Consider the following 21,920-nt stretch of genomic DNA (forward strand, 5'->3'; position numbering starts at 1 on the left):
ACCACATTCTCAAAACCCACGGCGCCCTTTGGGTGCTAAGACCCCCCAGGGTATCATCTTTTTTTTTTATTCCTCCTTCCATTCCCTTCCAGGCATCTCCCCCATCACAACACTGGTCCACACCTCCTTCAGCACACTCCTGTGGGACCTCCTAGCCTCTCGTCTCCTGCAATTCATGCAGCAAGATCTTTCTAAACCAGCTTGGCCACATACCTCCTTAAGATCCTGGGATCGCCCCTCTTTGCTCTAAGGATAAGGTCTGTGCTCCATAGCATGACTCCTGCCTGGGCTACAAAGTGAGACCTTGTCTCTTAAGAAACAGAACAAAGCAAAGCATGACTAATGATGTCATTCAGTCATTCAACATATATTGAATGAGTCCCTGCTCTGTGCCAGGTACTGGGTATAGAACAGAGAGAAACAACAATTTCTGGCCTCAGAAAACTTATCTTCTAATAGGCAGAGATGGGCAATAAACATCTAGATTAAATGTATTGGTAACACAAGGACAAGTGCAATGGAGAAAAATAAAGCAGGGAAGGGGCCCAGGAATGTGGGGAGTTGCGGTTAACACAAATGTTTTTGCAGACTTAAAGGAGGTTAAGTGGGGAGCCCTGTGGATGTCTGAGGAGGAGCATTCCAGGCAGAGGGAACAAGTGCAAAAGCCATTCAGTCCTCAATTTAAATATCAGCTCCTAAGACACTCAACCATCCCGTAGTTGAGTTAGTCCCTCTCAGCATCCTCCTGTGCATGGCATACTTGGCCCATCCTCAGGTGAGTTGCACTAATCTGTTGGGACTTTTTTTTTAAAAGGTCACATCCCCCTCTTGACTGTGAGCCCCAGAAGAGCGGGCACCTAGTCTGACTTGTTTATTTCTTACCCTTGCATCCATATATGCCGGGCACATAGTAGGTACACAGCAAATCACCCGGATGAAAAAGCAGAAAGATAACAATGGGAAGGAGCAAAGAATAAAAAAGCTCATGCTCCTTTAAATAGAGCAGAAATAACTCGGAATATTGTTGGTTGTTTTTACTTGTGGGATGGGAAGATTGGATTCTATCCTCCTATTCTATTCTATTCTATTCTATTCTATTCTATTCTATTCTATTCTATTCTATTGTATTCTATTCTATTCTATTACTTAAAATCAGAGCTAATAATTACAGCTCCCATTTCTGATTTGTGCCTTCTAGACTTAGCCCTGAAGGGAGGAACTGTTTCATATTTAATCAGTATTCGTTCTGGAATGCTCTTGGGGAAGCAAACTCACTTCAGGGCTGTGTAGTTGAATTCTCAGCAATGCTAATTAGATTGGGAAAGAGCCTGTGCTCACAGCAGGACTGCTGCAGGGTCACCCACTAACAAGCCAAGCCCCACCTGCCATCCAACTGCCCATACCTACCTCACCCTCCCTGTTCTCATCTCTCCAGCCCCCACTTCCATGGAGAGCAGAACCAGTCATACTTCTCATGCCTGTAATGACTGATGAATCTTCTTTGTGAGGAAGAATAGCAGCCAAAGTTCACAGGGGAAGTAGCTGCCCTCCCCACAAGTGTCCCTCATAAGCTTCCTGGAGCTGGTGGTGAGGGGTAGGAGGAAGAAGAGGGATGGGCAGTGGGAGCATCAGTAGATAATCAGCCTATTCCTTCTCCTGGTGGGGACAGGAATTCCCTTAATCAACTCTCTTCTCCCTATTAATTCTGCTCAATCCAACCTGTTTATTATCATCACCATCATCACCATCATTTTAACTACCAGGTCATGGATGTTACTGGGTACCAGACAATTTAAACACAAGATTGCAAATACCAAAGGAAAACCTGCAAGACAGTATCATTATCTACATTTCACAGATGAGAAAACTGAGGCTTAGAAGGTAAAATCAAGTTGGGCGCAGTGGCTCACACCTGTAATCCCAGCACTTTGGGAGGCTGAGGTGGGCGGATCACGAGGTGAGGAGTTCGAGACCAGCCTGGCCAATGTAGTGAAACCTCATCTCTACTAAAAAATACAAAATTAGCTGGGCATGGTGGTGCATGCCTGTAATCCCAGCTACTCAGGAGGCTGAGGCAGGAGAATTGCTTGAACCTGGGAGGCAGAAGTTGCAGTGAGCCGAGATCGCGCCACCGCACTCCAGCCTGGGCGACAGAGCGAGATTCCATCTCAAAAAAAGAAGGTAAATTCACTGGTCCTATGGCTTGTAAGTTGGGGAGCGAAGACTAGAACAGAGGACAGTAAAGCCTGCATTCCGGCTTCACAGCTTACCAGTTGTGTGAGCCCCGGGCACCTGTCTTAACATCTCTGAGCACCAGTTTCCTCCTCTATCTCATTTTACTTCAAGTCCCCAACAATACTACAAGGTGGTGGTTAGACACTGTGTCCGTTTTGCAGATTCAGAAGCTGGGGCTCAGGGAAGGCAGAGCTTTGCCCACGTTTCAGCCGTCAGGACATGGTGGCGCTGGGATTCAGCCCAGGTCCATCTGATGGTGTTATCCCTTCTGCTGTCCTGTTTTTGCTGCACTCAGCTAGGTCTGTGGAGCAGTTTGCCTTCCCTGGGACCCTGGGGACAGAGGGCTTGCTCAGGGCTAAGGCGTATCTGGCATGTTCAAGCCCATGCCATGATGCTCCCTGTAGAGGGTCAGGCCATCTGAACACATGAACCCACAGGATGTGCTGCGGCATGTGCCAGACCATGGCCTGGATCTCCCCCAGACATCCAAGGGAAGGAGCCTCTCTCCTCTCCCCTCCCACCACCTTCCCTCCTTTTCTCTCTGCCTGGGGCTCATAGAACAGGGGTGGCTTGGAGGCTCTAGCCCTACACTGTCTGGGATGGACTCCTAGCTCTGCCATGTGCCCGGCAGGGTTTTTTTTTTGGCTGGTCTTTTCTCTTCTCTGAGCCTCACCGAGTGGTCTTCTCTGCAAGGAGAGACAGACAATAATGGCACCTGCCTCACTGAAAGTTGAGAGGGAGAAATGGGGAAAGACACACACACTGCTTAGCATCAGGGCTCATGCATGGGGACCACCCAGAACACAGCAGCTACTGCAATATTTGGATTTGGTTTGATTCTCGGGTCCACTTTAGAGGGTAGGCCAGGCCAAAAGTCCTTGGCCCCAGTCCACACAGTAAACTGTGGGAGATGTGGCCTTGGACTTGGATCAGGTGTTCCCAATTCCTTCTCTTGGACCTACCATGATCTTCTCTGTGACCTCAGACACATTCGCCTCTCTCTGTCCCTGACTCTCCATCTTGCCCTGAAAAATCTAGAGTAGAAAGATGACTTCAGGGCTCTCTGCCACCTCTAAGACCCCAGGATGCTGAGCTCATCTGAATCCCCATCTACAGAGGCACTAAAGCTCATTCGGCCCTATCAACATGTTTAAGGCCTGAAAAAAGTTATGAGATTCAAATACAAACAGAAAGATACAACCTTCAAATTGACATGTTTAATTAAATCTCTGCAAAATGTAACATCATCAACTGTCACTTTGTGCTCTCCTTGGCTCTTATGTAGTTATATACATACACTGATTTAATGTGCAATCTTGATATGTTTGATCTGATGGAGAAAGGAGCTTCTAAGAGTATGAAGACCTGGAGCTGGAAGAGGCCTTAGAAGAATAAAGCTTGAGGTGGGTGCGTGGGGTGGAGTTGGGGTTGGAGGAGAGCAGCTTGAGAAGACTGCATGGAGGAGGAGGTATGTGGCTGGGAAGGACATTCGTGGCAGAGGAACAGCATGTGCAAAGGAGCATGGTCTGGAGGGGCCCAGCACGCCTGAGGAGCAGGGACAAGCGATTGCACCTGCAGCATAAAGAGGTGTGGGGCAGGGAAAGAGGGGCTGGAACATAGGTTGTTCTTCCCCCTCTTGAGCCTCTCTCCATCCTGCACCTTCTTTCCCACCATTAGAGCCCAGCTCTGTTGGTGTCCTCACTGAGGCTAGGCTTGATGTCCTCGGCCATTGCAGAGGCCCCAGGCCTGGTTGGGTCTCTCTGCTGACTGCCGGGGCCTGGCTCGAGACTTCTGGTCCTGTCAACTCCACTTCTGCCCTCAGGGCGTTGGCATCAGAGGCAGAGAGGTAGGATGAAAAGAGAAATAGTTTAAAACACAAAACCAGCCCAGACTCCCTTCTCACTCAATTTCCAGAAATAAGCTAATTTCTACTTATTGATATCTCTCTCCGCAGACCAGTGTTTTAACTGAAAGAGCCCAAGTATGCCCTAGCAGTTGCAAGGCCATTTGGGAGAAAGATGCCCATTCTTCTGCCCAACCATAAAGTGCCCTTTGGGAAGTGATGGGAGCCTTGCAGATGTCCAGCTTCCTTGCTGCTGCTCCTTCCTGGAGCCCCTAGTGGCAAAGCTGGGGAATTATTGGTGCTGGATATTCAGTCATTGCTGCAGGTTGCATCCGACCATTAGTGCAGATCTGTGTGTGCAGCCTCACCCGGGCAACGGTCTGGGCGATGGTTCCTTCCCTCAGAGATGCCAAGCACCCGGAAGGAAGGAGAGCACCCAAGCAAAGTGGGCAGCTTTCAGGTGCTGTCGTTCTGGGGTAGGGGCACTCTAAACTCCCTCTGCTCAAATCCATTGATCTGTCATGCCCCGGGTTGGCCCCTGAGCTCCCACCATCGACAGATCCCATGATCTGTCATGCCCCAGGTGACCCCTGAGCTCTGACCCCTCTCCCTGTTGGGTTTTTCTCCTGGTATTTCTTACTGCCTGAAATGATCTTCTTCAGCTGTGTGTTTACATGGCTTCCCAGGGATCATCCACCTACACTGAGGCTTTAGGTTGAATGATGCCTTTTTCTGCAGGCTTCCTTTGCAAAGTGCACAGCCCCTCTGACCTCAGGGGGATTAATGGATGCTTTTGTCTGTGGAAAGCAGGATATTGGAGCTCCTAGGAAACCTAGGAATTGGGGGAGGGCCAGAGGATACTGAGAAAAGAAGAAAAGAGAATGGGGATGGGGGAGGCTTCCAGACAAATTGCACCACCTCCACCTGGCCATCTAGGAGGAGAGGCTGAGCAGGCTGAGCTCCCAATGGCTGTGTAGCCATTGAGGAGAGGGAGTCTCTGCCTATAGAGGACAGTACTGGGACAAGAGAGGCAGGAAGTGACAGGACAGCAGGTTTTGGAATGATAAAGGTTGCTTCCAATGGAAATAAACATCTCATATTAGGAGGGAATCTAGTCTAAGTTGCATGGCCTCCTACACAGAAGCTAGGTGGGTGGAGGGGTGGGTAACCAGTTAAACCGTATTACAAAGGAAGGTGAATTAGATTAGTTGTAAGAGCATTAGTACAGCTCACAGCTCACTGAGTGCCTGGCACTGGGCTCAGCTCTCCACATATAATAACTCATTGACTCTTCATAGCAACGCTGTCAGTCACAAATTGTTATTATTCCCTTTTAACAGAAAGGAAACTGAGGCACAGAGAATAAATCAATGCTCAAAGACATCAGCTGTTAATGATGGAGCCAGGAGTTCCTTTCAACTCCAAATTCTAAAATCCTAGGGTTCTGAGACTTTCAAGATCTTGTTTTTTAATTCTAAAACTTCCATAATTTTATCATGCCATTTAACGTGTTCGATTTCTAACATTCCATGATTCTAAGAGTCTCAGAGTCTATAATTTGATGCTAAGTCTGAGGATCTAAGGCTTGATTGCTCTAAGATTCTCTGTGTCTAATATTTTATAGGTAGCATGGGACTACCTGTGGGAAACCAAACAGCATAAGGTAGGGAAACTCTTCCTTACTCTCCCATGAAGAGAGAAGTCAAGGCTATGTTTCCAAGGGTCAGAGATGTCCCTTCCCACCCCTGGCCTTTGGCAGGGGAAGCCAAAAACGTTGCTTTTCTTGGCCGTTAACCTGAGGTATCCCCAAGGGAGATGGTTGGAAGCCAGTGCTTGAAGCAGAAGGAGACTAGCGAGAAAGAAGAGGGGTCTTGAGAAGCATTTTCCCAGAGGTGGGCCATCAGAAACTCTCCTTGCAGCCCCCACAGTGTCCAGGAGGGGAAGGGAGGTCCTTAGAGGGGAAGGGCTGCCAGGTATGTCCTAGAAGTTGAGCCTATGGGAGGAGTTCTTCCTTTGGACCCACACCCTAGTCCCTTGACTCCTCTCCCTGTTGGGTTTTTCTCATGGTATTTCTTACTGCCTGAAATGATCTTCTTTAGCTGTGTGTTTACATGGCTTCCCAGGAATCATCCATCTACACTGAAGTGTCAGCTACCTGAGGGCAGGGAGAAAGTCTGAGCAGGCTTGCAGTAGGTATTTCTTCTCTGAGTGAGTGGGTGTCCGAATGGCACCATCAGCCCAAGACCAAGATGGCACCCTGGCCTCCTCCCTCACCAATGACTTAGGTCAAGAGACTTAACCTCTTGCTGCCTGTTTGTCTCCATAAAATAGAGGCAGTGATAATGTGCCTTCCCCTTAAGATCAGTGAACGAAGTGTCTAGAGTGTTCAGGATGTTCCTGGCAGATGGGAAGCCCTCAGTGAGGGTTAGCTGTGGCTGTTAATGTTACGATTACTTTCTACCTCGTCTCCCTCATGCCTGGTGAAGAAGGTCCCCGATACCTTTCCTCATCTGACCTCTGATGCTCCCCCAGCCTAACCCACCGGTTTCCCCTCCGTCTTCAGCCACACAAAACTCCCTATCTCTGAAAGCCTCTGCTCTTTCCAGATTCCACACCTCTGGGTACCTCTCCCCTGCCTGGAATGCCCTTCCCATCATCTTTCCCCTGCAAACTCTTACTCCATCTGGATGAACCTGCTCAGATGCCACCCACTCTGTGAAGCCAGTTCAGAGCCCCCTCCCTCACCCTTCTGGAAGCCCCCCCCCCCCCGCCCGGTGTGCCAGCACCTTCTCTGGGCTCCCACAGGAATTGTCACAGGCCAGTGTCATAGCTCCAATCACCCAGCGTGAAAACTGTCACCCCACTGTCATTTTGTTAAGGGATAGGGGTCCTGATCCAGACCCTAAGAGAGGATTCTTGGACCTCACACAAGAAAAAATTGGGAGAGTCCACAGAGTAAAGAAAAGCAAGTTTATTAGGCAAGTAAAAGAATAAACAGTAGCTGCTCCATAGGCACAGCAGGGTGTTCCCGAAGGTAAGAGGAGGAACGTGCCCAACCTAGGTACAATGCTTATTTGTATAGAAGATAAAACATCATGGGGAGATGTGCTGTACTACAAGGGTTTGTGATAAAGGATCGTTCATCTTTGTAACTACTATCTTTCTTTTCTTTTCTTTTTCTTTCTCTTTTTCTTTTTCTGGAGGTAGAGCCTTGTTCTGCCGCCCAGGCTGGAGTGCAGTGGCGCTATCTCAGCTCACTGCAATCTCCGCCTCCCGGGTTCAAGTGATTCTCCTGCCTCAGCCTCCTGAGTAGCTGGGATTACAGGCATGTGCCACCATGCCCGGCTAATTTTTGTACTTGTAGTAGAGACGGGGTTTCACCATATTGGCCAGGCCGAGCCCCTTCCCCATGTGTAAGACGGTGTAGAACCCCCATGTGGCCCGCCCTCCCAGGACAGCAGAGATCGCTGCATCCTCAGGCCGGTGGTCCCCGGAGCAGGCCGTGAAAGGGAAGGGATTCTGTTATTAAAGTCATCAGTTCTGGCGCCTGGGCCCTGGGGAGCCGAGCTTGGCTGGTAATTAGGGTCGTTAGTGGAGACGGAGCCAGCTGGGGCTGATGCCAGCGTGGGCGCAGAGCAGGCAGAGCCCAGGCTGCGGGGAGGGGCGGCCCCAGGACGGTCGGGGCGGGACCTCCACCACCTCTAGGGCGGGACCCGGGCCCGCACCTCCTCCTTGTGGGTGTTGTTGGGGGTGCCGCACCGCTCCCGGCCACGGCCTGAAGGTGGCGGCGCAGGGCCGCACTAGCGCGGCTGGGCGGGGCCGGGAGGAGGTGGGGAGGGGTCTGCAGAGAGGAGGGGAGTGGGGAGGGAAGGAGGGAGGGAGAGAAATGGGGGAAAGGGGAGTATAAGGGAAGGAGAGGAGAGGAGAGGAGGAGAGGGGAGGGGAGGGGAGGAGAGGGGAGGGGAAGAGAGGGGAGGGGAGGAGAGGGGAGGGGAGGGGAAGAGAGGGGAGGGGAGGGGAAGAGAGGGGAGGGGAGGGGAGGGGAGGGGAGGGGAAGAGAGGGGAGGGGAGGGGAAGAGAGGGGAGGGGAGGAGAGGGGAGGGGAGGGGAGGGGAGGGGAGGCAGGAGAGGAGAGGGAGGGGAGGGGAAGAGAGGGGAGGGGAGGAGGGAGGGGGGACGGGGGAGAGAAGGAGGGACACAGAGAGGGGGAAAGATGGGGGTGGGAGAGAGAGACACAGAAGGCCAGAGGGAGGGAGGAAGATAGAAGCCTTCTCCCCTCCCCACCATTTGGGGGATCTGAGGAGCCCAGATCCTCTTGGAACACCCTCTCCCCGATGCTTACAGAGGTCACTTCCTCCTGTAGCCCTCCCTACGCCCTCTGTGGTCTGACCCAGGTGGACCCCAGCCCCATCTTTCTGCACCTCCCCACCCTCCTCTTCCTCCTCCCCACCCTGCTCTGGCTACGCAGAGCTGCCTACCATTTCCAAGGGTGCCAGGCTCCCCCTTTCTCTGCCAGTGCCGTGCCTGTGCCTGGCTGCTGCCACCCACAGTAACCTTCTCCCCCCTAGCGAGCGCCTTCCCCTGGCTCCCCCACTTCTCCTTCAGGTCTCAGCGCAGACACCACCTCCTCCCAGAAGTCCTCCCTGTCTCCATGTCCAGGGCCTTGCCTGCCCCTAGCTCGCCAGCCCCTCGCGCATCTTCCCCCATCAGCAGTGGCCAGGCTGGGCTGTGATTGATTCTGTGTCTGTTTCTCCAGCCAGACTGGAGGCTTCCTGAGGACAGGGACACGGTCTTGTCCCTCTCTGCGTTCCCAGTGTGGCCAGCCCAGTGGATGAACAGCCACAAGTGGACTATACATGATGCCTGAGGGATGAATGGATGATCCCAGGAGGGGCTGGGTTTGGGAGATGAGGAAGAAAGGGACGTGGAGCAGGAGGGAGAAAACACAGCGGAGAGGAGGTTAATTAGGAGAGAGGCCCCAGAACACCCCAGCCACCAGGGTTCAGGGCCTGGGCCCCAGCACTGCAGGTTTCCTGCCCTCCCAAGGACCTCAGTGATCTGCCTTCTGAGGTCAGAGCCCATCTGGCTCTGGGCATCTCTGAGCATCAGGAAGTTGCTCTTCCTCATGGGAATCAGGGCTGCTTGAGTCACAAGTGACAGTATCTGCTCAGCTGCAGGGGAGAGGGGCTTTTGTGTAAGGATCTGGTTTTGCAGATGCAGTGGGAACTCAGAAGGGACTTGGAGCAGGGGTGGGGGCACCAGCCAGAATCAGAGTCACCCACAAACTCCCAGCTCAGTCTTTTTCTAGCTGTGGGGCCTTCAGGAAATTCACTTTAGCTCTTTGGGTCTCGGTATTTTTTCATCTCTAAAAGAGACAGTTTGCAAGCAAAAGCAGAGAGATTTAATAAACTATTTAATAAACTCCCTGGCAGAGGCAGATGGAGTCTGTGCCTAGCAGGGCATAAAGGGGAGAGAGCACTGCAATTACAGCCGCCAAGCGACAGAAGCTGTCAGCAGGTGTCTGCCAGGTGGAAAAAAACCACATCTGGGCCCCATTCCTCAGACGATGACACAGAGTGGGCCACAGAAAGGGGCAAGGGTGGCTGCTGAGCCTGAGTAGGGCTTGGTCTTCTGGAGAACAGCAGGGTGCAGACGGCTACTGCCTGGCCCCTGTGAAAGGAGATCTTAGAAAGACGAAGAGGGACCATTTCCTGTGCAGAGTAACTGATACTCTCTCAGCCTGGTTTTCATTAGCCCAGCCCAGCCTGGGGAGAGGGATGCTTTCCCAGGAAGGGGTGCCCGGGGCTATTGCAAAGCAGGCTGGGAAATGGGGGCAGGCCCTGTCACCGATGTCCTCATTAGCACTCACGTTGATGTTATTTGTGGAGCCCCTGTTCTTGGCCAGATGCTGTGGGTCGTTCTTTTACATCTTCCTTCAAAACTGCCTGGGCAGTGTTTATTTCCTCATTTTGCAGACGAGGGCCCTGAGGCTCACAGCTTGGTCCATCCCTCCACATTCCCAGATTCTGTTCCCTCCTCTGTGGTGACCTTGCTGAGTCACTGTGGGTGAGTCCCCTTCCCTCTCTGGGTTGGAGAGAATGAACCTCAAGGCCCCGTCTAGGCCCAGCACTGGTGGGGGCTGTGCCAGGTAGCATGGTCGGCAGGGCCCCTTCACCCCACATGTAGGCAGCTGGCAGACCTAGTGAAGCTCATCTTCCATTTCCTCCTCTCCTATGATTTGCTGTTGTGGTCCTTGGAGAAGCCCCCGAGTAAATATTAATAATGTACCTTTGTGTACGTTGGCTGAGGGAGAAAATGAATCATTTCCTGCTTCCCTCCTGGGCTCAGAATCTTAACTAAAACTATGCTGGATCTTTCAGCAACTGGGATGGGCCTGTTGGAGGGGGCCGAGGCAGAGCCACGAAACAGCTGCCTCCCCTGGCTGCCCGGATGCTGAAATTTCACCTTTCAAAAGCTGTGCCTGGATTTCCCAATATCACAAAGAGCATGGGTACCAAAAGCTTAGGTTCAAGTCTTTGCTTGCCCCAGCATGCCCCAACTGTGTGGCTATAGTGACTCTTTGAATCTCAGCACAGCCTAAGATGTGTGCCCCATCCGGTAGGGTAAGCTAGCTGCTTTCACGTGGTGAGCTCATTCCATGGCCCTCCTGCTGTCTGAGCAGTTCTTAGGTGCCAGTTTCTGCATGGAAGGCGATCATGAAACATAGGAAGGAAAACACAAATCACACTCCAGCTTGCAGAAGGGACACCGCAAAGGGAGACAGGTGGAGCCATTAGCCAGTGCTCAGGCACTAGTTTGCTGTTTGCAGAGCTCTTTTTCCACTTGATTTTTCATTTGATCTTGAAAAGGAGCCTGGGGGCTGCCCCATTCTACAGACAAGAAAACTGGAACTTGTCAAGGGACTTGAGTAAGGGCTCATTACTAGTGAAGGGAGAAAGGAGATTTAGTCTAGAACTATTTCCAAACCTCATGCTCCTGTCCTCACCGGGCTGCCAGGCAAGGCTGAAGGGAGGTGGCTCAGGAAGAACATGCTCAAGGAGGAAACTTTTGAGCTGGTTTTTGGAAGAAAAGAAGGAACACGATGGAATGGGGAGGGAAAGTCTGGGGGTGGGGAAGCCTCTACAGGTGCAGTCAGCGCATCGAGTCAGGCCTACCTTCTCCACCACCCTCCCCAGACACCCTGGAACACACTTTTCTGCCCCTGCAGAGGCCTTGCCTTCTGCTAGCACTTGGAACTCCAGCCTCTCTCTTCTTGCCCATACTACATTGACTCTATGAAGCCAACTAAGTGGATTTCTGTGCCCCCTTCCACTTGAACCAGTTACCTGCAGAAGCTGGCTCCATCTTCTTCCTCCCCACTGCCATCATTTCTTGCCTACTACAGTCTGATTTCTGTCTTGTCAAGGTTACAAATACCCTTCCTATGCCTCCTCCTTGTGGACATGTCTCTGTCCTTGTGGCCTTTGGCTTCTCAGCGGCATTTGACCCCAGAGATCACTTCTTCCCTCTGGAAACACCATCTCACCTAGGTATCTGTGACTCAATTCTAGTTGGCTGGTTTCTTTTCTACTTCATAGGCTAAGGACCAATAAGGATAAATTCTAGAACTCTCTGTAATTCAAAGATGTCCAGCAGGTATAATAGGCTGCCTCAGGAGGAAGAGGGGAGAAAGGAGGAAGAGGGACTGCTCATATGGTGAGCACTTACTATGTGCCAAGCCCTGTACAAGGCGGTTTAGGTCCCATTGCCTTGTGGGGTAAGAATGTTCATCCCTTTTTTTTTTTTTTTTTTTTTTTTTGAGACGGAGTCTCGCTCTGTCCGCCAGGCTGGAGTGCAGTGGCGCAATCTCGGCTCACTGCAAGCTCCGCTTCCCGGGTTCACGCCATTCTCCTGCCTCAGCCTCCCGAGTAGCTGGGACTACAGGCGCCCGCCACCGCGCCCGGCTAATTTTTTGTATTTTTAGTAGAGACGGGGTTTCACCTTGTTAGCCAGGATGGTCTCGATCTCCTGACCTCATGATCCACCCGCCTCGGCCTCCCAAAGTGCTGGGATTACAGGTGTGAGCCACCGCGCCCGGCCTGTTCATCCCTTTTTTGAGATTGTAAAGCAGAGTCTCAGAACATATGAGGGATGACCCATGGCCACACAGCTAGTAATGGAGGAATGCTGGACTTAAATCTCAATAGTAATTGTTACCGTTTATTAACACCTATGGGTGCCAGGCCCTGAGCATGTTCTATGAGCTGAGCCATCTGGTTCTCACCACAACCCAGACGTGGCTGTCATTCATAGTGCTATGAAATGCAAGGACGTTGTGCCCCAGAAGGTAAAAGATTTACCCAAGTCCTCTCAGGAAGTAGGTGGAGGGGCTGGGTCTGGAGTCTGGGTCTGTCTGAGACCCCAGCCATATTCTTTACCTCCCCTGTTCTTGCAGGGAGCTAAGCATGAGATGACCCTTGAGAGGGTCACTGCTTCAGAAGCCCACTCAGGACTTCATGGCATGGGACCTAAAGACAGAGAAGGTTCTTCCCTGCCCCAAGATTCCAGGAGGCTCCCCCATAGACATTGTTCCTGTAAGTGCCTGTGTTGGCAGCGACTTCCTGTGGTCTCTGAATCATTGTGTTCAGGCTTCATCACAATCAGTTTCTGCAAAAACAGTCATTTCTGCCGTGAAATCTATTCAGCGTGGCCAGCGGGGCAGGAACAGAAGAGAAAGGCCAAGTGGGGTCAATGTGGTGTTTTATGTGGTATTGACCCAGCTTGTCTGTGCAGAGGATGCAGGGAGGGGGACCTGGTGGGAGGGATTAGGTGGCATGTGTTGAGCACCTACTATGTACTGGGCACTGTGCTGGCTTGCTGGCTCTTGGCTTGCTGTAACTCATTTAATATTCAATGAAACAACTCAATGAGAGGAGAACCCGTTTTTGTTTGTTTTAACAAAAGAGGAAACAAGTTCAGAGAAGTTAAGCAACTTGTCCAAGTTCATATAGCCGCTAAGTCGTGGATCAAAGATTCATGCCCAGCACTTCCTGATGTCAAAACTTACGCTCTTCCTAGTTCACTGAAATGAAAGAAGGAGAGAAGAAACCTTTATTGTGAACACTTATTGAGCCCTTTCTAAGAGTCTGGGACTTTGCTTGATAATTCTATTCCAATGTTATACACACTAGGATTCATTACTTGTGTCACCATTTTACAGATGAGGAAACCGAGGCTTGGAGAGGGGACTTGATTGCCTGGGGTCTCATAGCCTGTAAACAGTAGAACCAAGGACTCTGACCCACAGATCATCATCCTTTCCAACATTTTGGGGAGAGAGGAAGAGCCTCATCAGATCACAGTCATCAAGGTGGAGGCTGTAATCTGTGCTAAGAAGGAGGGGTGGGTGAATGGGAAGGCAGTGGCCACTAAAGAGTCATGATTCCTTGAAAGGTGTCACCCTCCTCCTAGGGCCTGGTGGCTGAGGCTGCTCCTGGGTGTCCACTTGCAGTGTGCTGTCACTGGCTGAGGGTGATCACGGGGGCCCTCAACCCCCGTGTGAGCCCACAGCCTTGCCTCTCCGCCAGAGTGTGGCAGGCAGCTGTGGGATGCAGAGGATGTGCCGAAGGAAGCGTCGCATATGGCAGATGGGGAGGAAGGCCTGGGATATAAAACGAGGTCTTGATAGGAAATGAAGGGGAGAGGAGGTGCCCAGGTTTTCAGGGTCCAGGGGTAGTGAAGGGTCCTGGGAGTATGCAGAGCACCATGGGAAGGGGTCCTCAAATACCAAGCCAGAATGACTGCCCTGGAGCCCTCTGGGTCTTGGTGCAGGAGTCATGAGTGTTGATGTAAATGTGGGTCCTGGTAAATGTTTTCTGGAAGCCACTTGAGACAGTGTCTGGGGAACTAGGTGCAGAATCGAGAGAACGAGCAAGGGGCAAGGTGTGAGTCTGACTTTCCTCCTAACCTGCTGTGCAACCTCAGGGAGCTCACACAGCCTCTCTGAGCTTTAGTTTCCCTCTCCAAGTAAAGGATGAGAGTTAAAATCTAGGAGACCTGGCTAGTCTGAGAGTTCTGGATTGTTCAATGTTGTGTCTCCATCATAGTCTTGTGGTTCTAGAAGCTTTAGGACATACATCTTTTGTCATATATATTAGTAAAAATTATTAATTATAGTAAAATACATGTAATGAAATATACCATCTTAACCTTTTTTAAATGTACAGTTCAGTAGTATTAAGAACACTCATGTTGTTATACAGCCATCACCACCACCATCTCCAGAATTTTTCATCTTCCCAAACTGAAACTCTGTACCCATTAAACACTAACTCCCCATTCTCTGCTCCCCCAAGACCTTGGCAACCACCATTCTTCTCTCTGTTTCTATGAATTTGACTCCATCTAGGTACCTCATGGAAGTGGAATCATATACTATCTGTCTTTTTGTGGCTGTCTTATTTTGCTTATAATGTCCTCAAGTTTCATTCATCTTGTAGTTTGTGTCAGAATTTCTTTCCTATTTTAGGTTGAATAATATTCCATTGTGTGTACATGCCAAATTTTGTTTATCCATTCATCCATCTATGGGCAGACACTTGAGTTGCTTCCACCTTCTGGCTATTGTGAGTAATGCTGCTGTGAATATGTGTGATGGTTGATTTGGGATGTCAGCTTGACTGGGTTAAGGGATACCCAGACGGTTACCCATTTTACATATAAGCATTAATTATTCCCAAATGCCCACCCCTGGAGGGTTGCTTTGCACCAGAACCCTGGGAAAGGACTTCTGCTTTGGGTGGAATTCGGGGGTGCTGAGCCCATCTGTCTTGTGCTCTAAGGGAAACCCAGGTGGTTTGGCATTTGATTGAAATGATTGGGCTGCTCCAGGTGTGTCTGTGAGGTGATTGGTGTATGAGTCAGTGGACTGAGTGGGGAAGGCCCGCCCTCAATGTGGACAGGCACCATTCATTCAGCTGAGGGTCTTGATGCAGCAAACAGGCAGGGGAAGGGCAAAGTCTTGCTTCTTCTACCCTTCTCCTATCCTTGGACATCAGAGCTGCAAGTTCTCCGATCTTTGAACTCCACACCAGCAACTCCCTGAGAGGCTTTCAGGCCTTTGGCCTTGGACTGAGAGTCCATTGGCTTCCCTGGTTCTGAGGCCTTCAGATTGAGCTGAGCCACACTACTGGCTTCCCTGGTTCTCCAGCTTGCACATGGCCTATGGTGGGCTGCTCAGCCTCCATAATGGAGTAAGCCAGTTCCTCTAATATGTCTTCTCATATCTCTCTTTATGTCTCCTATCATCAGTTCTGTCTCTCTGGAGATCCCCAACTAAAACTATATGGATATACATGTATCTGTTTAAAACCCAATCTCCACTTCTTTTGGATTTATATAAGGAAGTAAAATAGCTGAATCATATACTAATTCTATTTTTAATTTTTGAATAACTGCCATACTGTTTCCACAGGGGCTGCATTATTTTACATTCCCACCAACAGTGCACAAGGTTCCAATTTCTCCACATCCTCACCATCACTTGTTGTATTCTGTTTTGTTTTGTTTTTGATAGTAGGCATCCTAATGGATGTGGGTGGTGTCTCCCTGTGATTTTGATTTGCATTTCCTTAATTAGTGATGTTGAGTGTCTTTTCGCATGCTTATTGGCTATTTGTATATCTCCTTTGAAGAAATGTCTATTCAAGTCCTTTGTCCATTTAAAAATCTGGTTGTGGCCGGGTGCAGTGGCTCACGCCTGTAATCCCAGCACTTTGAGAGGCTGAGGCAGGTGGATCACAAGGTCAGGAGATTGAGACCATCCTGGCTAACACGGTGAAACCCTGTCTCTACTAAAAATACAGAAAATTAGCCGGGCATGGTGGCAGACGCCTGTGGTCCCAGCTACTCGGGAGGCTGAGGCAGGAGAATGGCATGAACCTGGGAGGCGGAGCTTGCAGTGAGCTGTGATCGCGCCACTGCACTCCAGCCTGGGGGACACAGCGAGACTCCATCTCAAAAAAAAAAAAAAAATCTGATTGTTTGTTTTCTTGTTGTGTTGTAAGAGTTCTTTCCATGTTTTGGATGTTAACCCCTTATCAGATATATAATTTATAATATTTTCACCTATTTTATAGGTTGCTTTTTCACTCTGTTGATTGGGTCCCTTGATGCACAGATGTTCTTAATGTTGATGCATGTTGCTATGTTTTGAGGCTGCTCAGAGGAACAAAGTATTGGGAACAGGCCCCAAATCTGGCCATAAACTGGCTCCGAAACTGGCCATAAACAAAATCTCTGCAACACTGTGACATGTTTGTGATGGCCATGATGCCCACACTGAAGGTTGTGGGTTTACTGGAATGAGGACAAGGAACACCTGGCCCACCCAGGGTGGAAAACCACTTAAAGGTGTTCCTAAGCCACAAAGAATAGCATGAGTTATCTGTGCCTTAAGGACATGTTCCTGCTGCAGATAACTAGCCAGAGCCCATCCCCTTATTTTGGCCCATCCCTTTATTTCCCATAAGGAATACTTTTAGTAAATCTGTAATCTATAGAAACAATGCTTATCACTGGCTTGCTGTCAATACATATGTGGGTAAATCTCTGTTCGAGGCTCTCAGCTCTGAAGGCTGTGAGACCCCTGATTTCCCACTCCACATGCTATATTTCTGTGTGTGTGTCTTTAATTCCTCTAGCACCCCTGGTTTCAGGTCTCCATTACTGAGCTGGTCTCAGCAAATGGTGTCCAATGTGGGCTTGAACCCAGGTCAGAGGGTTGCCAGAGCGACGGTTGGAGAATGTGGAACTAAGCTGGAGGACACCTGAGTACTTTTAAGCAATCCCTGTGGTGAGTAACCACAACACTATATCCTGAGCATCCGAATCTGCAATCACCTTTTTTAGAGACTCCTGTAACCAAGCTATAAAATCTGTGTACGGTTCTTTTGGTCCCTGCTTTACAGCACTAAAGGAAGGGTATTGCTCTTCTCCCAAAGTGATTTTTTCCCACGCTCTAATGCACACTCCTCTAAGCTGCTCTGTGTCATCATCCTGCATGACCACTGGTGCATCTAAACCAGCCCAGCCACTGACCCCCAAAGTTGGTCTGCAGTTATATTAATTTGAGGTCGGGCCTGGGCATTGCGAGCAGCCTGAATGGAAGCTTCATCTGCCCACCAAGTTTTAAATTGTAAGAACTGAGCAGGAGTCAGACAAGCTCGAGTAAGAGGATCCCAGGCAGTAGGAATCATCCGACTGGAGACAGCAACATTCTTTAACAGTCCCGTTACAAAAGGAGAACCTGGTCCATATTGATTAATAGCTTGCTTAAATTCTTTGAGTAATTTGACAGGAAAAGGCTCAAATGTAGCTATAATATTTCCCTGTTGATCTGGGGGGTGTATTCTAACAGGGAACTGCCAAGCCTCTAAATCACCCTCTCTTCTAGCTTGCTGGATTCCTGCCTGATTAGAACTGAGAGTGGTTGCTCGAGGCGCTGCTTGAACAGTTACTGGGGCAACTACTTTTCACCCAGCGTCCTCCAGAAAAGAAACATATGGAAGGTCAGGCTGCTCTTTTTCTTCAAAATAAGGAGGGGGTGCAGAAGGGTAGGGAAGAATGTCTTTCTCCTTTGCTGCTTTAGCTTTAGCTGACAAACAAACCTGCTCTGTTACTTCATTATACTCTCCTTCCTCCTCAACATCAGTGTGAAAAGTTTCCAAGGTGGAATGAACCAGAGCCCACACTTGTTCCATTGTTACCCTGATGTTTCTGAGCTCCCCTTCTTACTCACCATGGGGATTGCTCACGTATGGGTGCCACTTGCCGAGACCAGCTTGGTCGTGGAGACCCTAACCCAGGGGCACTAGAGGAATTAAAGACACACACAGAGAAATATAACATGTGGAGTGGGAAATCAGGGGTCTCACAGCCTTCAGAGCTGAGAGCCTTGAGCAGAGATTTACCCACATATGTACTGACAGCAAGCCAGTGATAAGCATTGTTTCTGTAGATTATAGATTTACTAAAAGTATTCCTTATGGGAAATAAAGGGATGGGCCAAAATAAAGGGATGGGCTCTGGCTAGTTATCTGCAGCAGGAACATGTCCTTAAGGCACAGATTGCTCATGCTATTGTTTGTGGCTTAGGAGCACCTTTAAGTGGTTTTCCGCCCTGGATGGGCCAGGTGTTCCTTGCCCTCATTCTGGTAAACTCACAACCTTCAGTGTAGGCATCATGGCTATCACAAACATGTCACAGTGCTGCAGAGATTTTGTTTATGGCAGGTTTGGGGTGAGTTTATGGCCAGATTTGGGGGCCCAGTTCCCAACAACAAAGTAGCAATGATCACGTTTCAGTTAGTTCTGCCCACACTCAATTTTCTACCAGCCCCTCCATTAATGGTCTCCCTGCAGGGAGGGGACTGGATTCTACGAGATTAAAAAAACAAAACCATCTGTATTAGTCCATTTTCATGCTGCTGATAAAGACATATCAAAGACTGGGGAAAAAAAGAGGTATAATTGGACTTATAGTTCCATGTGGCTGGGGAGGCCTCAGAATCATGGCAGGAGGTGAAAGGCACTTCTTATGTGGCAGCAGCAAGAGAAAAATGAGGATGAAGCAAAAGCGGAAACCCCTGATAAACCCATGTGATCTCGTGAGACTTATTCACTATCACGAGAATAGCACGAGAAAGACCGGCCCCCATGATTCAGTTACCTCCCCCTGGGTCCCTCCCACGACATGTGGGAATTCTGGGAGATACAATTTAAGTTGAGATTTGGATAGGGACACAACCAAGTCATATCACCATCCCTCTTTGTGTGGCATCAATGTGCTTCAGAGAATGGTACTGGCTGTGACTTTACACAGATGTGGAATGGATTTGGGCAGTCCACATTCTGCCTCTGAGTCCAGGTTCTCATCTGAAATGAGGAAATAACTCTCACCTTTGTGTGAGAGCTCAGGCTCTGGCCTCCATAAACTCTACAATTCATGTTTGCACTCTTCCTCAGGGCAGAGGCTTCTGGGGAAGCTGACCACTTCCTTGACATCAGCTTCAAAGGACCAAGGGCTTTCTCTCCACACTTCCACCTCTGTCAATAACCTGTGACAGCCTAGGTTTACCCAGGCCATCCATGATATTTCTCCCTTCAGGATTAAGGAGACTGACATTTGCCCTCTCCTCAACCTCTCTTGAGCTGCAACCCTCTCCCACCCCCCACATTTTTGTCTCTGTGATTTGAAGAACAAACCTGTGTCCCTCCCTTCACATTTCATGATTTGCATACCCCACAACCCTCAGCTAAGAATATTCACTAAATAGACATTAATGATATGGGGATGAAGACAAAGATTTGTTTATCAAATCCCAAGGAGGATGGGAGGATGGATTGTGAAGACATCTCTGACCAAAACAGAGGAAGGAGCAAGAGAGAGGCAAGCCACAGGACCCACCTTCATCATCATCACCATCACCACTACCATTATTATCACCACCACCATCACCATCACTGTCACCATCATCATCATCACCATCATCACCACCATCACCATCATGATTATCATCACCATCATCATCACCATCACCTTCACAATCATTATTATCATTACCACTATAATTATCACCACCACCACTCCCACCACCACCATCACCATTATTACCATTATCACCATTGTAATAAAGAGTCCAACTCCATTTTTGATGTTGCACTGCAGATGACTCTCACCTCACATTCCTCTTCTTTTCCTTTTTCTTTCACATGTGGTCAAACTGAGAAGAAGGCCCATACTCCCTCCCTTGGCAGGGAAGTTCAAACCAGACAAACAATGTCTCATATTCAGGAACTCTCGTCCTGGCCTCACCCCAAACCACAATAAAAACCAGAGCCATTCACCTCTCTTTTTGCTCAAGCCAAATGGGTAGCTTGGGTATGTGCCTTGCTCTTCCTAGAAGCCTCATTATGTGAATAATACATCTTTTCCTTCCTCTTGGTGAGTGCGTGACATCATCAGATTCAACATCTAAACCAATTTTGAGTGTGTGGGAGTTGGTCCCACCCTCCGTGGAGCAATCATGAGACATTAATTGTCGCAGTCATTGCCTCCATCACCATCACCACCCTCCTCATCACTAAGACTCCACTCAGTGCCTTGTGCTGAGCACAGCACTTTACATGGATTAGCTCATTTAACCCACTTGACAATGGTGAGACAGATACACCTGTTGTCCCCATTTTACATAATAGGAAACTGAGGCATGAAGAGGTTAAGTCACTTGCCCAGGGTCACATGGTAAGAAGAGATCTGGGCTTCACACTCACACCGTCAACTGCTATATTCTGCTCTGTCATGGTGAGAAAGTTCTTCTCTGTGTTTAACTTTTCCCTCTCCTGCTGTGGCCAGAGTCCAATCCCTCTTTCTGACTTCAGAGGAGTCCAGGAGTCCATGAGCAGAATCAAGGAAGGGATTCCAGGATTCCACCCTCGTGCTGCTTTCCCTTCATCTCTCCTCTTCCCACATACACTCCCTGGGGACCTCCTTCACCTGAGATTTCAGTTATCACCTCTCTATTGATAATTCCCAAAGCCATCACATTCCAGAAGCTTTGCCTGCATCTGGACTGCCTACAATGACCATGTGAGCACCTGTTCTGAGCTAGGGACTTTGCTGGTTTATCATGGATATGCTCAGCATCCCTGTAAGGTGGGCCCTGTCCCTGACTTACAGATGGGAAGCTGGGGCCCAGAAGCAAGCAGCAAGCAGCAGAGCCAGAGTCCAGGCCGCTCCCATCTGGTTTCAGAGCCTGTGTCCTCCCTGCACCTGCTGCCTCTGGGCTCTGCCCCCTGGATGGGTCACTAATGTCACCAAGCAGGTCTCAGTGACCCTTGATAACATGCATGTGCCCTGAATTTCCAAGTTCAGTCCTTGTCCTGCAACTCAGCCAGGCAAGTCTCTGCTGAGCTGCTCTGTCCCCTTGGAGGCAGGCAACCTTCTCCAATTATTGGCTCTTCGATCATCCCTTTGTTTCCCAAAAGAGGTGGGGCCCTTCTGTCCTGCAGGGAGGGCAGAGGGAAGATGCAGAGGGCTGGAGATTTGACGGATGAGAAAGTGGGGATGGAGCTTGGATTGATGACAGAAAAGTGGAGGAAAACAAGCAGTGTTTTTATTATAGATGTGTGTTTATTTAAACTCAGATGGATTTCTGTGTTAGTCCATTTGTGCTGCTCTAACAAGACCATAGACTGGGTCATGTATAAAGAACAGAAACTGGTTTTTCACGGTTCTGTAGGCTGGGAAGTCCAAGGGTAAGGCACAGGCAGATTTGTTGCCTGGCGAGGGCTGCTGTCTACTTCCAAGATGATTCCTTGTGGCTGTGTTCTACGGAAGGGACAAACGCTGTGTCTTCACTTGGTGGAAGGGATGAAAGTGGGGGAAGAGATCTCAGAAGCCTCTTTTACCAAGGGCATCAATTCCATTCATGACGGTGGAGCCCTCATGACCTGATCACCTCCCAAATGCCCCATCTTCTAACACTGTCTCCTTGATGATTAGGTTTCAATGTATGAATTTTGGAGGAACATATATATTCAAGGCATGGCAATTTCCAAGTCAGCCAAGACTTCTGGTGTCAGGAGTGAAGGGGTAGAGTGAAGTCAGGAGCTTGGGGGATGTGACTGCCTGGCTGCAGGGAGGAGATGGGGAAGTGCAGCAGTGAATGCTGGGCCTGTATCAGCCCATGCAGTTCTAGGAGCCCAGTGTATGTGTGTTGGGGGCTGAGGATTTTTCAGGGGACAAACATATATTGAGCACCTATTGTGTGCCAGGCCCTGC

At 49.5% G+C, this 21,920-nt stretch overlaps 9 annotated features.

Annotated features, from left to right (window-relative positions):
• Positions 7,135–7,635: an enhancer, noted in NCBI's record as "H3K4me1 hESC enhancer chr1:30179358-30179858 (GRCh37/hg19 assembly coordinates)". NCBI's record gives its function as "activates a minimal SCP1, AML or CMV promoter by ChIP-STARR-seq in primed H9 embryonic stem cells {active_cell/tissue: H9 hESC(primed)}" and the evidence as "EXISTENCE:reporter gene assay evidence [ECO:0000049][PMID:30033119]".
• Positions 7,622–7,951: a silencer, noted in NCBI's record as "silent region_557". NCBI's record gives its function as "represses an Ori minimal core promoter by ATAC-STARR-seq in GM12878 lymphoblastoid cells {active_cell/tissue: GM12878}" and the evidence as "EXISTENCE:reporter gene assay evidence [ECO:0000049][PMID:35858748]".
• Positions 7,622–8,136: a biological region, named in NCBI's record as "H3K4me1 hESC enhancer GRCh37_chr1:30179859-30180359".
• Positions 7,636–8,136: an enhancer, noted in NCBI's record as "H3K4me1 hESC enhancer chr1:30179859-30180359 (GRCh37/hg19 assembly coordinates)". NCBI's record gives its function as "activates a minimal SCP1, AML or CMV promoter by ChIP-STARR-seq in primed H9 embryonic stem cells {active_cell/tissue: H9 hESC(primed)}" and the evidence as "EXISTENCE:reporter gene assay evidence [ECO:0000049][PMID:30033119]".
• Positions 9,512–10,106: an enhancer, noted in NCBI's record as "H3K4me1 hESC enhancer chr1:30181735-30182329 (GRCh37/hg19 assembly coordinates)". NCBI's record gives its function as "activates a minimal SCP1, AML or CMV promoter by ChIP-STARR-seq in primed H9 embryonic stem cells {active_cell/tissue: H9 hESC(primed)}" and the evidence as "EXISTENCE:reporter gene assay evidence [ECO:0000049][PMID:30033119]".
• Positions 9,512–11,016: a biological region, named in NCBI's record as "MED14-independent group 3 enhancer GRCh37_chr1:30182040-30183239".
• Positions 9,817–11,016: an enhancer, noted in NCBI's record as "MED14-independent group 3 enhancer chr1:30182040-30183239 (GRCh37/hg19 assembly coordinates)". NCBI's record gives its function as "activates an origin of replication core promoter dependent on BRD2, BRD4, P300/CBP and CDK7 cofactors, and independent of MED14, by STARR-seq in HCT116 cells {active_cell/tissue: HCT116}" and the evidence as "EXISTENCE:reporter gene assay evidence [ECO:0000049][PMID:35650434]".
• Positions 10,107–10,700: an enhancer, noted in NCBI's record as "H3K4me1 hESC enhancer chr1:30182330-30182923 (GRCh37/hg19 assembly coordinates)". NCBI's record gives its function as "activates a minimal SCP1, AML or CMV promoter by ChIP-STARR-seq in primed H9 embryonic stem cells {active_cell/tissue: H9 hESC(primed)}" and the evidence as "EXISTENCE:reporter gene assay evidence [ECO:0000049][PMID:30033119]".
• Positions 10,586–10,685: an enhancer, noted in NCBI's record as "active region_613". NCBI's record gives its function as "activates an Ori minimal core promoter by ATAC-STARR-seq in GM12878 lymphoblastoid cells {active_cell/tissue: GM12878}" and the evidence as "EXISTENCE:reporter gene assay evidence [ECO:0000049][PMID:35858748]".

The sequence above is a fragment of the Homo sapiens genome, chromosome 1, assembly GCF_000001405.40.
Source record: "Homo sapiens chromosome 1, GRCh38.p14 Primary Assembly".
Lineage (NCBI taxonomy): Eukaryota > Metazoa > Chordata > Mammalia > Primates > Hominidae > Homo > Homo sapiens.